This window comes from Homo sapiens, chromosome 8 (genome assembly GCF_000001405.40).
Source record: "Homo sapiens chromosome 8, GRCh38.p14 Primary Assembly".
NCBI classification, from domain to species: Eukaryota; Metazoa; Chordata; class Mammalia; order Primates; family Hominidae; genus Homo; species Homo sapiens.
This window is the reverse complement of record NC_000008.11, coordinates 33,975,920-33,991,709: the sequence shown is the minus strand read 5'-3', so window position 1 is coordinate 33,991,709 and position 15,790 is coordinate 33,975,920. Positions and strand designations below refer to the sequence as shown.

The 15,790-nt window shown below is 40.3% G+C and overlaps 1 long non-coding RNA gene across 5 annotated transcripts in view, besides 1 other annotated feature; it reads right to left on the bottom strand.

The window, feature by feature from the left end:
- Positions 1-15,790, bottom strand: part of LOC105379364 (uncharacterized) — a 535,736-nt gene that overhangs the window by 266,408 nt on the left and 253,538 nt on the right. The gene's annotated exons all lie outside the window — the stretch shown is intronic.
- Positions 7,846-8,015: an enhancer, noted in NCBI's record as "experimental_103242 CRE fragment used in MPRA reporter constructs". NCBI's record gives its function as "activates a minimal promoter by MPRAs in K562 erythroleukemia cells, with activity observed for both the introgressed and non-introgressed 8:33841298 variant alleles {active_cell/tissue: K562}" and the evidence as "EXISTENCE:reporter gene assay evidence [ECO:0000049][PMID:34662402]".

Here is a 15,790-nt window from a genome sequence, read left to right as displayed (position 1 = left end):
ATGGTTTGGACCTACTTTGTAGGCAGTAAAGCAGAAAGGTTAAGAATCTGGACTACTGATTCATGCTTCCTAAATTTGATTCCCAGCTCATCCTTTATCAACTCTATATACAATCTTGGGCAATTTTCTTGGACCCTCTAATCCACAGGTTCCTTGTCTAGTGGATGGGAATAATAATAGCAGCACCTATCACATAGGTAGTTGTGAAGATTAAGTGATGGAATACTCTCAATGCCTGGCGTAAAGTAAACGGTCAGTAGGTCAGTACATGTTAACTATTATTAATGCCAGCATGGAATTGGATAATGAGCACTTAAACCTGTATAGTCAGCAGGACTTTTGCAGGAGTTTGTGCATCCTTAGTATGTATATTAAGTGGCAAAAAGGAGAGAAGAAGAGGGAAGAGAGAAAATACATATTTCCTTGAATGGAGAAAAGAGAGAAAAAATCAAAGAGTAATTTTCCCTTAATTGATGTGCTTGTCGAGGACAAAGAAAATAAAAATACTTCTTTTATCTAATGAGGCTCAAGATAGCCAATGTTTGCCATTCATCATTCCCTAACCTGGACCCTGTCTCTCTTAGCTCAGTGGATTTTGTTCACATTTCTTTCTCGTAAACAATCAACTGAGGAAATGCAGATTGAGTCCCTTTGTGAGTATTTAAGGGTGCATCAGGGCCATAAAAACAGAGTGGTTCTATCTATATGGAAATGTAGATTTCAAATATATTCTTTCTAATAATCAAATCATAAGGGAAATGGTCCTCTAATAGGGAGTTAATAAAAGTTGATTCTTAAGGCTGCCTGGAGCTGTAAGCAATAAGGAACAGATGTATAACATGAAGCATTTGTGCTTTCTTCTCTTTTTTCCATTTTCATGATCTATTCCAATAACTAGATGGCCCAAGCTTGTATTAGAAGAAAATAGATTAAGCAATCAGAGTCCTCATTTGATCAACCTGTTGCCCCAACTTCCATACACACACAGTCTTTTAAAAATTCATGTTAAGGGTTTGCCTAAAGATGCCAAATTTACTTCCTTGTTTGACTGGAGTTTTCCCCTTTTGTACAATATGCAAATGTTCCCTGTGGGAGAGTTGATTAGCCATTGATGGTGGGCTTTAATAATGAGGAAACTTATCAGAGCACAAAAACACGAATTTGGCAAAACAAGCTTTTTATATAATACATAGGGGAGGGAAAGGCAGATTTTTTAACCTCTTAATTTGCTAGATGCTTTCCCTGAAAATATGGCATTTTAAACCTAATGTAGCTTAAGGAACTATGCACTGATTACTGCAGAGAAACAGGGGAAAGCAAGCTGGAGAGAGGGAGAGAAATAAAAACACATCCCTGTCTCGAGGGCTACAATGAATTGTTTCCCAAATGAGAAAATATAATAACCAGCCACTCACCTCTGGCTGTGACCAAACACAGATTTTTCCCACTAGTTTATTGTCACACTGATAATAAGGCAAAGAGTACAAGCTGGGACAGGAGAATGCAGGAGATAACTTAGCCTTCCACTCAGCTAATTTTCCTAAATGCTAAGAAAGAACTCCCCCACGAGGTCACATGGATAAAACCTTTTCATCCAGGGAAAAAGACCTTTCCCATTTTTGTTTGTCACCAAGATAAAAACTCTCACCGTACTTAAGGAAGGAAAATATAGCATTACCCACAGGATGATGTCCAGTCTATGTATTTTAACATATGGTGTAACGGGAATACTGTAATCATGAATTTAAATGGCAATGCCCCAAGCTACTGATACCAGAAGGTGAGGCTGGCATAATAGTATGGCGTATGGCATAGAACATTAAGACACTATTATCAATGAGCAAGGAATACATCAATAGATAATAATAGACAGTGATACCTGCAATCAAGAAAGGTTTCACATAAAATACTCATTTGTTTTGCTTAAATAAAATGTTGCTCCTGTGAAATAATTCAGGTACCAAAGAGAACACAGTCATGTCAGTTGGATTATCTTGGGGTTAAATACTGTCCTAAAAAATATTTTGGACTGGCGCGATGCTTTTTTGGTTCTGGTTTTTAATTTTGAATTTAAGCAGGGCCCACGTTCAAATTCCTCACAGGTCCAAGCATTTCTTTCATCTTACCTGTAGCCAAATTCACACATTTGCATGACCTATTGCTTCCTTTGAGATTTAAGTTTGAGACCAGGAGAGAAACAGGCTATAGTTGGATACTTTTTAGAGCACATTTAAGAGTACCTATGTCTTCCATTGAAATCCACTGATGAGAGTGTTGGGGTGAGAGCTTGCTTTCAGCAAGTACACAAGTAAAGATTAAGACGTAGTTAGCAAAGCTTGAAGCAGGCAGTCATGTGAGACCCAAAGATGAGAGTCTAGGCCTTCAAAATGACAGCCACTTATCACACGTGGCTTTGGAGCGCTTGAAATGTGTCGAGTCCAAATTGAGATGGGCTGTAGCAGAAAACACACGCCAGATTTTGAAGATGTAGTACAAAGAAAGTAAAATAGTTTCCCTAATTTTTATACTGATTACATGTTGAAACGATAATGTTTGGAGTATACTGGGCCAAATACAATATATTATTAAAATTTATTCCGCCTATTTTTATTTTTAGCGTGGCTACTAGAAAAGTTAAAGTTACTTTCATGGTTCACATTATATTTCTATTGACAATGCTGGTCCAGAGAAAACCATAACTACTCCTTTAAGTGTATAGACTTGCTAATAATCATCAGAATTTCCTTAGGGAAGAGAAACCAGAGATAGATTGGGAGAAAATAAAAAAGAAAGAAAAGAAAATAGAAACCACAATATACAGCTATTATGGACTAAACTGCACTACCTGCAAAATTCCTGTGTGGAAGTCCTAATACCCAATACCTCAAAATGTGGCTGTATTTGGAGATTGGTCCTTTAAAGAGGTAGTTAAGGTAAAATGCAATCATTTGAGCAAGTCCTAATCCAGTAGGAGTGGAACCCTTGTATTTATAAGAGGAGAATAAGACACAGTGTGTGCCCAAGGAAAATTATCATGTGAGAAGGCGGTCATCTGTAAACCAAAGAATAAACCAGAGGAAACAAGTCCTGTAGACACCTTGATCATCAACTTCCAGCCCCAGACTGTGAGAAAATAAGTTTCTGCTGTTCAAGCCACCCAGCCTGTGGCATTTTGGCACAGCAGCCCAAGTAGAATAGTTTATAGCTTACAATACAAGTGTGTGTAGTAAACCATATATGGCTCATTATGTAGAATAGATTCAGGCATTCTGTATTTAGTATATTGGATCCAGGAATTAGATGGACTCTGCAGGGCTATTTATTAATAATTACACAATCCTAATAATTCATTTAATTCCCATAGAGCACATGCCATCCACATTTCTGTAGGTTCTCTGGATTTTGACCTGGGAAGAGATTTTGGTTTTTGAAACAACCCCCATGATTGCTCTGCAGAAGGAACTTTGGAGGAGAGGGAGTACTGGGCCTTCGTTCAGATGACTGAAGTTTATATCCTGGCCTTCCACTGACTGTGTGACCCAAGACACCTCGGTTAACCGCTTCAAGACTCAGTCTCTTCAAATGGAGAATAAGGATGATAATGCCTGTTCTTTTCACCTAAAAGCTTGGTGTCATGGGTGGAGTTGGATATTGCAGTCACATCTGCCTCTAGGAGCAGAGCCTCAAGCAGGTGTGAATAACCATCATCCCAGTGTCTTGGTGAATGGTGCTCCTTTGCAAGGTGCATTCATTCAGGTAGCAAGTCATCAAGACAGGGTCTGTGCACTACCAAACAAAGCCTGCTAAAAAGTTTGAAATGCTGCAAGGTGACTAAGTAGCCTGTCTTCAGTGTCAGACAACTCATGAGATAAAATTTTTACTGAGTTAGACCATGTTTGAGAATGTTACCCAAGTTGGTTAACATTGTTCAGCAAGGCTGCTTGTGACAAATGTCACTAGAGCACTGGTGGCAAAAGTGTTCAAAGTGAAACACCACCGTATACTCTGTCTTGCCTGCTTTCAATCCTTTAAGTTTAGGAGACTCTACTCTGCCTGTTTTCCAGTCTTCTTTCATTAAAAAATTATAATCTACAGTGATTCTAAGTTGATTCTTCCAGCTTCTTCACTACAAAGAATTGTCCCCTGACACAGTCAACATCTCTTGACAGAGACACTAGTGATTTTATAATCCAAGTTCTTACAACATAATGCTTATGTGGGTTGGTTCTTGTCCTTTCTTCTGAATCTACTGGCTATAACAAGTAATATTTCACTGATTATTTTTCTACGTTAATTTACTGACAACTACTTTATACAAAATGCTCTAATACCCCCTATGTGTCATAAGAAAGAAGAATAAAGCAAGTCTCATTCTAAAGGAGTTTCTAATCAAGTAGTCATCTTATCCCAACCCCCACAGACCCAGTATGGGTCTCTTTCTCTCTTCTCTATCTCCATGACCCTCCACTCCTTAATCATATCCCTTTACCCCCTTGACAGCAGGCAACTTGCCTCCTATGCTCATATTTACCCAATTACTGCTTGTCATGTATACAGGGATTTACTGATATGTCCAGTAGGCATCCCTTTTCCTGGAGACCTTGCCTGAGCCTTGCAGGAAGCTGGGGAATATTGTACAAGCTACTCAACCTCTCTGTGTTCTCAGATTCTTTGTGAAACAGACAGCAATAGCACCTACCTTAAAAACTCATTGTGAAACATACAGTTAGAGGGAATAAGTTCTAATGTTCAATAGCAGAATGGGGTGATTATAGTTAACAATAACATACCATATATTTTAAAATAGTTAGAAGCTTAAAATGTTCCTAACATGTAGAAATGACAAATACTTGAGGTGATAAATACTCCAAATACATGTTCTTGTCACATGCATGTCACAAAATATCACATGTACTCCATAAATATGTACAAATATTATGTGTCAATAATTTTTTAAACTTATTGTGAGAATTACACATTTCCTAGCATTCTGTAAGCACTCAAACATTAGGCACTCCTATGACATCGATGGGATCCATGAGCTACTTTTGAGTATCTAACCATCTAATTAGAGAAGGGTGTCTATAGCGACCATGTGCTATGTTCATCTCTAATATTAAAATATTTACTTTATTGTAATAGCCTATATACTTGTCTACCATATTAAACAAAATAAATTGTTACTATTCACTAAAAGTTTATTACATATGCCAGGTACTTTGCATGTATTAACTCATTTCATCGAGCCCAACCCTATGAGATATTACCACAATCATTTTCATTTCTTCAGCTGAAGAAATTAAGACTTAGGCCCAGGTCACATACTCAAGGACACACACTTGGTAAATAAGAGAAGCAGGACTTGAGCCCAAAGTTCATACTCTTAACCAACCACTCTACTCCACCACCTCCGTGGAGGACTCAGTCTACCATCCCTGTGCCCCTGGAGCTAGTGTAGTGCCTGACTCATAAGCAGTTTCCATTTTCTCTTTGGTTAATTAATATAACACCTTTACAAGGAAAGGGATAAATTTGTTTTTGTTTTAATCAACTATACTAAGACACAAAAAATGATGTGATTGTCACATGGATCTGTGGGTAGCTTTTTGAAGAATCAAGCTGACCTAGCTTTCTCATTTTAGAAATGTTGCCATTTCCTTTTCAGGGAGGAAAAGATATAACTGGAATAAACTGCAGGCAGATGTCTCATTTCTCCAATTTATTATTCTGGAGTGAAAACATTGAGTGACATAATGCCTCACAGGACTGTCACAACTAAGTGTGGGACAATACATCAAACAGGCATGGTTCTTGGAAACACTACCAAACAGGTCTTTGCTAATGATGGATTAAGTTATTGGGGTGTTTTAAAGTTATTAACATTATGGAAGATAGGAGAAATGTGTAAGAGCAGAATATATATTCCTAAGAGGTAATTTGTGTTTCAAATCAAGCTTAATAGAGATCCCCAAATCCCTAAAGAAAATTTAAAAATTATGAAGTCCGGCCAGGAGTGGTGGCTCATACCTGTAATCCCAGCAATTTGGGAGGCTGAGGTGGGTGAATTACTGGAGGTCAGGGGTTCAAAACCAGCCTGGCCCAACATGGTGAAACCCTGTCTCTACTAAATATACAAAATTAGCCAGGCATGCTGGAATGCACCTGTAATCCCAGGTATTCGGGAGGCTGAGGCAGGAGAATCGTTTGAACCCAGGAGGCGGAGGTTGCAGTGAGCCAAGATAGCACCACTGCACATCAGCCTGGGCAAAAAAAGCAAAACTCCGTCTCAAAAAAAAAAAAAGAAAGAAATGAAATCCTTCAATAATGAATACAATTTATTAGGGTTTCCTCCAGAAGTTTCTGAAGTAAGGACTTCAGGGCTTATGGAATAGAGTGACAAAAAAATTGGTCTGTGGTTTAGGCATGGAAAAATGTCTAAGGGGCATTGTACATCAAGGAGTTCAGCCTTCATCAATGGATGGCAGAGCTTCATGTCAGATTTAGGGGGAAAAGAATGCTACCAAGGCGGTACTTAACACTAGGTGAAGTAGGAGGGATTGAAAAAGAGAAACCTAGTAGCATGAGGAATAGATAGAAGGGAAGAGATTTATGGAGATATATACAGGAGGAAGAACCAAAAAGATTCATTGGCCACTTGGATGAGAGAGGAAAGGAAAACAAGGTAGCAGATGGAAGACAGGAAGATAAAAGGTTAGAGAGAGAAGGAAAGATAATGACATATTGGTGTCAAGGAGGGGATGGAGGATGGATGGAGGTTGAGAGTAGGTTACAAGTCCCAGATATGGTACTTTCTACACTCCTTTTAGACTGAGGAAGAGGACTATCCCTTCAGTCTGATGTCATGTCAATAAGGACATGATGACCACTTATTAACTACCTTGATAGCACTTGTATCTTTGTGTTATATGGTTATCTGTTTTGTTTGTCGAGGCCTTGCTCCCACCTATGAAGTAAAATCCTATGGGCATCATTGCCAAGAACTCCGTCCAGTACATTGTATCCTTCAGAGATAAGGCATGGATTCCAGTTCCCTACAGTGCTCTGAAAAATAACTTATTTCATTGCTTACCTGGTGGACTAGGCTTCCCTCTAAGACTCCTTCACCTCCCCCATATCAGTGTTCTATCACATCAGCCTTTGGTCCCTAGATGCTTTTTCTTCAGCCAAGAAGAATTGGTAGATGTATCAAACTAACTTGCCTTTTTCTTTTTCTTCTTTTCAATAGTTACTGTTATTACTACCATTTATAAAATATCATCCTAGCATCATACTTCCTACACAATCGAGGAAAACACTTTTGACATTCCAAATCTACCTACCAATCTCTTCCCCAAACCAAGCTTCAGGCTAGGACTTCCACAAGCTTTGCTCTCTTCAAAGGAAAAATGCACTGTGAAATACAGGGATGAGTATATGGAATAGTAGTCTATCCTGCTCCAAACAAAGGGGTTTGGGGAAGAAAGCTGAGTAAAAACATGGCTGAAGACAGCCCAGGAAGAGAATGTCCTGAATGACCTGAAGGCTAATTCCTCAGGATTTATCAGCCTCAGGACAATGTGATGCCGTATTCAATCCTGAATACTGACATAAAACATAGTTGGTTTGAGATGCCCCCCTAACTTACAGAATCCATGTCCTTCAAGGGCTTAAAGACAAAGAGGCCCCAGCAGCACCTCAAACTTTCCCTTCCCCTCACTGATGGGAGACAGTTTTATACAGTGTGAAGCTTCAAAAAGACTGAGATTGGTATATGAGCTCTGTCATTGAGCTTTGTGTGAACCAGAGTACCATCTTGAACTGTGCTGAACCTCAGTTCCCTCACAAGTAAAATGGAACTGATATTTACCTTCAGAGTTAAGCACCTAATATGTATCAGGTATAAGCACAAGATCTGATATAGAACAGACCATAAGAACTTAAAACTCTTCTTCTAATTATTATCTGGAAGTCTAAGCAATGACCAATCACTATTCTCCTTACACCGTAGGGCTGGGTGGATGGGGGTGGGGGTAGGAAACAGAAACCAAGGCCTGCCTCTCTTTCTCACCCACACCACCCCCCACCCACCCCAGTCCCTCCACCCCAACCAAGTAGAATGTGTGCTGGACAATACCACTAAAGATATAAAGCATGGAACCTGCTTGGCATGAGAGAATGCACTACTTTTTCTCTCCATTCTGGTTTTCTCCTTAGAAACTAAAGTATCACGGTCTAATGGCTCTAACTCTAAGAAACACTATTTCTCACCAGTTATCACCTCTAGTTTTTCTTTTTCTCCCCTCCTTGTTTTTCCGTTAGTTCCAGAGTCAAATGTCCCACTCATATACTGCCAGGTAAAGATGACCACTTTCAAGGGCCTTTTTGTACTTCCAGTTACCTGCTTAGCCCTGACTGGTCAAACTGATGTTGATTCCAGCCTCCACAGTTCTGCCTCTAAGCTGCCTCCAATATGAAAGTCTTTTTTTTTAAATAATAAAATAGATGCTACTATACATATATTAGTAAACATTACAATGCTCTGAGACAAAACTATCATTGTCTACCTCTTGTGTACGAGGCATCTGAGACTTGGAAAGGCAAGTATCCCAGGTTCACAGATTTTTACAGGCAGTAGGGAACTGAGATAAGAAGGCCGTTCAACCTCAGGGCTCACATCCTTTCTCCTTTTAGAAGCTGCACACTGGCAGCCCAAAGTGGTGTTTGGTTTAGCCCCCACAATCTTGGCCCTTACGGTGTTTTTGTTTGTTTTTGGTTTTGTTTTTAAAAAAAACTTAATTTGCTTCTAACATTTAGGGAAAAAGGTAAATTTACTAAAATTTTTTTTTTTTTTTTTACTTTCTCTTTTAAAAAAAAATCAGAAGAGCTGGCAACGTAAGGGTTGTTTAACTCTGGGCCAACTGTTTCCCGGAGCTGAGAAAAAGTGGTTCCCTTTAGACGGACAGAATGTGGCTTCCAGCTGGCCCTGGTCCCTGCTGTGAACTGATTTTTAAAAAATATTATTCCTCACTTTCCTCACTCTTTAATTACCCACCCAGCCCTGTAGTCATTAACTTTGCCCCTGTGTTGAGTCCTATTCCTCAAGAAGAACACATCTTCCTCTCTGTGGTGGGTTTCAAAAGGCAACTGAGGCCAGGCGCAGTGGCTCATGCCTGTAATCCCAGCACTTTGGGAGGCCAAGGAGGGTGGATCACCTAAGGTCAGGAGTTCCAGACCAGCCTGGCCAACATGGTGAAACCCCATCTCTACTAAAAATACACAATTAGCTGGGCATGTTGCCGCATGCCTCTAATCCCAGCTACTGGGGAGGCTGAGGCAGGAGAATCCCTTGAACACAGGAGGTGGAGGTTGCAGTGAGCCAAGATTGCACCATCACACTCCAGCCTAGGCAACAGAGCGAGACTCTGTCTCAAAAAGAAAAAAAAAAAAAAACCACTAGTATCAGTCTCTGCACCTGAACGTAGCGCCTTTTCTATCACTATTCCTTCTGCTGTGGTGTCTTCCTGGTTTTGTCTGTGGCTCTGCTTTCTGACACCTGCCTGTCTATAACTCACCATCACCGCAATGAGCAAAGACTCTTTGCCTGCAGCCAGACTCTCATTCTCCAACTTGCTCTGATCATCCATGTTAGTGGGAGGTCCAATCCAAGTTACTCACTAGATCTCATCCACCTTTGACTACTTCCATTCTACCAATCCAGCCTGAGATTCCTCTGTATTCCCAGCCTGCTCCCTCCTTCCTGCCTCACACTGCAAGTGTGAGAGAGCGAGTGAGTTGCTGGCTGGTGCAGAAGTACTTTCCTTCCATTTGTCACCCTCTTGCTCCTCTCCTCTATCACTATGGCCCTTCCAGCACTGACCTCCCAGCAGAGCAGAGAGGGGCCCTTAACAAGAAGAAAGGATTTATCAGGGTTCCCTGAACGGTACAAGATGAGAAAATTTTTAAAAGCCCTCTGGACTTTGTGCATCAAGGATAGTTTGTAGAGAACTTGACAGAGGCTTGTAAAATACATTTCATATAAGAAAGAAGTTGAAAAGGGCAAAGAATGCTGCAAGTCGGACAAGTAAAAGAAAAAAGGTGTACACCAAAATATTGGGACTGAAAAATAAACTGCAAGCAGACTGCCTACGACCTTTGTGCCTAAGTGAAAAGCAAACTTCTCCTCCTCCCTCATCGCTGAGTTTTGTCTGGCATGATGGATGATGCGGTTTTTGCTGGCACACTGCTGAAATGTTCCCGCATATAACACAAGAGCTCACATAGCACTTCTCTGAAGAAGAAAAGGCAAACTATTGTAAAAGACAGAAGACTGGTAATTAAAGAGAAAAGAGTGCAAGGCAAACAGTTACTGGTAGGACCACATGCCACCTAACTGATGTTCCCCATCACACTTCACAGTGACGGTCGCTGTCTTTAAACCTTGCAGAGCAAGACTCAAACCCATAAGGACACATTCTCTACCACTCTCCAGATAAACTCTCCAGTGTTAGAAAAGCCCGTTGTCTCCTTTCCTTACCAATCCTATCATGTATTCCAGATACTAAGCCTGTATTTCCCCTCCTCTAGATTACAGCTGATCTCTATCTTCACCCGTTTAAATCCTACCCATCTCTTAAGATCCAATTCAAACTCTACGTCTTTCCTCAACTATGCCAATCTACCATGACCCCTCCCTTCTATAAATTCTATAGTAAAACCTGTGCCCACATCATTCACCACCCAGATTATAAGCACCTCAGAATCAAAGCAAAGACCACCATTTTATGCTTAATTCGATGGCTAACATTTAGTGCTCAATAAATATTGAAAATGGTACTATGTTGTATTCTTCATTCCTTATTTCACTTCACGTTTCATTAAACTCCAAAAAGATTATTATAAGCTCCTTAAGACCAAGGATCCTGACAGTATTTATTTGGCGGTCTACATGATGCCAAGCCCATAGTAGGAAATAAATATTTACTTGGCCAAGTTGGTTGACTGAAAGGAGTCTAAAGCTTTCACACAAGTTACCAATTACAGTGGTAAACGTTCATTCACTCATATAGAAAATATCACTGTATGACTGGAACAAAATTGTCCAGGCTGTGGAGAGCCCCACGGCTGTTCAACGCCGTGATCTCACCAAGCTCCAGGGGAAAGCTCCGAGTTTGCCTCTGGGATTTTTTAAATGTCCCCTCAGAATGAGTGACTGCCATCTGAGCAACCATCCTACGAGTGGGATAGTTCTTCAGAGTTCCCTGAGCTTACCCTTGCAGGGAAGGGCATATCACACTTAATCAGTTCACACGTCTAAAGACAGTTTTGTTTTTTAAATGCCTTCGCCATGAGTTCCACCTGGGACTTGCAAATCCTTAAGAGATCTTCATTTGCACATCATCACTGGTTGCAAGACTCTGATGAGAGCTCAGCTGTCAATAGGAAATGAAGCAGGATGTCAGCCTGCTCCTCCTTCCTCCCCCTCTCCCTTGAATCTCCTAGGCAGATTCAGGGGAGAGCAGTGAAGATAAGCAGATAGGATGTGCAGACTCCGAATAAGGGATAAGAATGCACGTGGAGGAAGAAAGGCTGTCATTAGGTTGTTTTCCTGTCTGTAATAACTGCTCTAAGACCATCAACTTTAAGTAGTAAGTTTTTGAAAACCAAAAATTTTAGATACAATTTTGTATAAGCAAATCATTTGTGTGCACAAAACTCAATATTTTTGTGCAAACAGCATTTTTACATGCAAATCAAGCCATTAGTGTTTTTGCTAATTGAGTAGTGTGTGGAATTCAATGCTTTTTCGCAAGTGCAAGTGGGAAGTGATACTGGTATAGCTACAGAGAATGTTGAAGAGAGTGGCTGGCAGTCAACTGCACCATTTTCCTATAACTGGATGGTGGGTCAGTTGCTTTGGGATGCTCAAACTCTTGAGAAGTAGCGTGGACAAACTGTCTGAAGTGAATATAATTTCAAGCAAGTTACTGGTTGATTGACCACTGCCAACTGTCCTCTGCATCAGTTAGTTTTACTCCAGGCTTAAACTCACATAGGCTAACCCAAGTTAGCCACTTCAACATGGCTGGGAAGAAATGGTCCAAAGGGCCACTCTGAGTGCATGGGACTACTCCCAGCTCCTCTGCCATCCTTGAATCTGCATAAGACAAGAAATCAATCAGCAGCACACTGAAGCTTGGTAGAGGAGAGTGCAATAAAGGCAATATTTACCCAAAAAATGGGCAGAGATTAGGAAAAGCAACAAGGGTTGGAGCAGTGCCACAGGACTAGTAATAGTGGTTGCAATTCCAAGAACTGAAGGAGCAAGAAAATAGGTCAGGTAATAGAACCTGGAGAGACAGCTATAAAAAAGAGGACCACCTAACAGGCATTGTGACCTTTCAATCAACTGAGGCAGCCAACTCATCATAACCCCCAAGGAGTAAGCCAGAGGGATCGATACTCCAACTTCATTCTTCTCCCTCCCTCTGGTATCTTGCCAGAGTCTGCCACCGACCCAATCCAACTGGAAGACGGAAGCAAAGCATCTCTTCATTATATCTATACTGGTCGACCTCCCAAGCACAGCACAGGGCTTAGAATAGATCTGGAAGGACAAACCAAAGACAGTCTGCACAGATGCCCTGAAGTCAATGATTCTGCAGCTATTATACATTTTACTTTATTTCACATTTCAGTATTTCTGGGACTTGGGCTTCAGACTTCTCTGAGAGCTACATCGCAATGATACCTGTCCAGCACTAATTTCCCAGTCTCAGTGGGAACTCATGATTAACAAGAGTTGTCTTATCCCATGAGACATAGGGGTTATAGAAAAAAATAGTTCTCTTAAACCTATAAGAATCATTCTTAATTATTTTAGATTATAATACTTATATAGAGGCCAGGCATGGTGGCTCACGTCTGCAATCCCAACACTTTGGGAGGGTGAGGCAGGCAAATCACTTGAGCCCAAGAGTTAGAGAACATCCTAGGCAACACAGTGAAACCCCACCTCTACAAAAAATTCCAAAAATTAGCCAGGTGTCATGGCATATGCCTGTGGTCCCAGCTACTTGGGAGGCCGAGGTGGGAGGATCATCTGAGCCCAGAAGGTCAAGGCTGCAGTAAGCCATGATTGTGCCACTGCACTCCAGCCTGGGTGACAGATTGAGATCCTGTCTCAAAACAAACCATAATAAGACTCACACAGAAATGGCTATGGAATTCATCAAATAAGAACCAAATGGTTTGGTTTATTACTGAAATGTAGTCCGAAGCCTTGCCTGTATAACGAAAGCTAAAAGGAGTAGAAATTTTTTCAACTAATTCCTTATCTCTACTTCTACCAGTATGTTTTTCAACTCCTCCTTGTCTCATTAGTTTCTCACTTTTTAAATACCTATTTGTATTCAAAATATCACCATCACACAGTTCAGATTTAATTGTTGAGTAATAATTTAATGTCCACTATTGTTTTTTCCTTTCCTGAACTATAAGCTCTCTGAGGGTGGAAGGTGTGTATGATGCTTATTCAGACATCTATTAAGGTCTCAAATACTTTCCATGGATTAATTCACAGTAATATGGAAGTTTTGGTAACCAGTATCTATAGAACCATTTTGAGGCACCTATAACTCTGATACATTAGATTACCTAAGGGCAAAAATCAAACTATGCTTTATCTAAGGACCCTTGACAGTGGCCTTTGACAAAAATGCACAGAGTACTTCTACATAGTAGTACTTCGTCTTGAAAAACACAGGAAGGAAGGAAATGGAAAGGAGAGAGAGAAGAGGGATAGCTAAACATGTCTCTTGATTGCAAAGATGCTACATTAGGCACGTGGACAGTTGTTAAGTACAGAGTAAGCAGCGTTGCTGGGAAATAACTTGATCCATAACCCATATAATGCTGCCTGCATGCTATGAAGATAATTGGCCTCTGGGTATTTAGAACATGGTCTTTGCCCTTCCTTTTACCCACGATTCTGTACATCTTTACATATAATAAGCCAACTTGATTTTGGTGAAGCCATGATTCAGATATGTTTGTCCTAGGAGTTGTAAAGGGATATTAAATACATCCATAAACACCCGACAGAAATTGTGCAATAAAGATAGCTTCCTAAACAATTAATCACAACCTCAAAATACAAAGCTAATAATAGGTCAATTCTTTTCTCCAGAAAACACAGGGGGAGAACAATAGTATTAGATTGAAATTAATCAATCTAACCAATCTAACATCAACAATCCAGAAATTTTAGAAAAAAAAAGTATTTTTCTTAAAGAACACATTTTTAAATATATTTCTTAAGAAATAGCCTTTTCTATCTATCACACTTTGGTCATACTGACAGTCTCCAAATTAAAAGCAATATCTTTCTTTAGGCACAAGATTTGTGAACACTGCCAATATGCTTTCAATCAAACTACATTTGAAGAAAAGAGTTTTTGAGGAGGGTGGAAAATAGCTTAAAGTAACTATGATGATCACTCAGCAGGTATTCTATAAGACAACCAGAGTTTCATGCAATTGTATTCATTTCAGTATATGCAATAAATGAAACACACAGCCAATGTGCTTCTATTTATACATCTTGGCAACACTTTACAGAAATAAACTATAAATCAGAAGACAAAATTTTTCATTAGACTCAATCATCAGAAGTAGTCATTACTATAATATAAAGTTCACCCAACTCAAATGAGACATATACACCACAAGCACTCACTCCCCCACCCCCACCCCACCCCCACCATTTAAAATACGTATTTGGATACCTACCTTTTTACGAGGCAGGTTCCAAATTTTTTTTTAACTCTCACATTCCCAACACGAAACATTTCTTCTTCTGAGGTAGATATCCAATTCAATCCAGGTTCAAATGGCCAAAGAAGAGACCCAGATAAGCAAACAAGTTATGGGTTTTATCAAGGGCTTACATACAGGAGACAGAGCCTGCTAGCAGTGGGTTGGATAGGAGAAGCACACAGCCAAGTGGCAGTGGGCTGGGCGGAGAAACACAACCACTTGCGAAAGGCATGCAGTTTATACAGCATCTTCACCTGACACTTTCCCCCTAACAATCTCCACCTGACAAACTTCATTTACTCCAAAACAAAGCGCCTCAATGCCCTGTAAGGTCTCCGTCTCACAGAAGGGCCGGGGGCTCAGATGTTCCTCACAGTTAAGGAATGGATCTCCATGTTGGCCAATCTTGGATTCCCTAACTCATTCTGACCACACATTCATCTTTACGGCAGGTGTGTCTGCTGTAAAGGTCATCTCAGGGCATGCTTGGGTCCAGTCATCACTGGCAGGAGTGTCTGCTATACAGGACAACGCTGCACTATAGTACGTGACCTACCTTGCTGGCAATATATCCTCTTGGCTCAGATTTCCTTACCATTTACATCGATAACAGTTTATATTCTGCCTGGCATCATTTTCCTTCATTGTGTCTCAAAAGACTATCATGTTTACGAGCAGCTAATGCTTTCACTTGTTCCTCTGTAAGAAATTTGTTCTTAAATATTACCTGGGATACTAATTAAGTGGGATTTGAAAATGAGAACACATTGGCATTGTTAAGGTTAATGGCTTAACCCTTCCACACAGTAGACAACTTCTCGAGCTTGCTGGAAAGATTGTTATTGAAGTGCAGGGACAGCCCTGTCCCATTATCCATGAGTCTTGCTTATTCTGTTCTCCTTAGGATTGTACCATCTATATGTCCTTTGAGTAACTGATATTTAGAAAATGTTTCCAGGTGTTAGCATTTATTAAG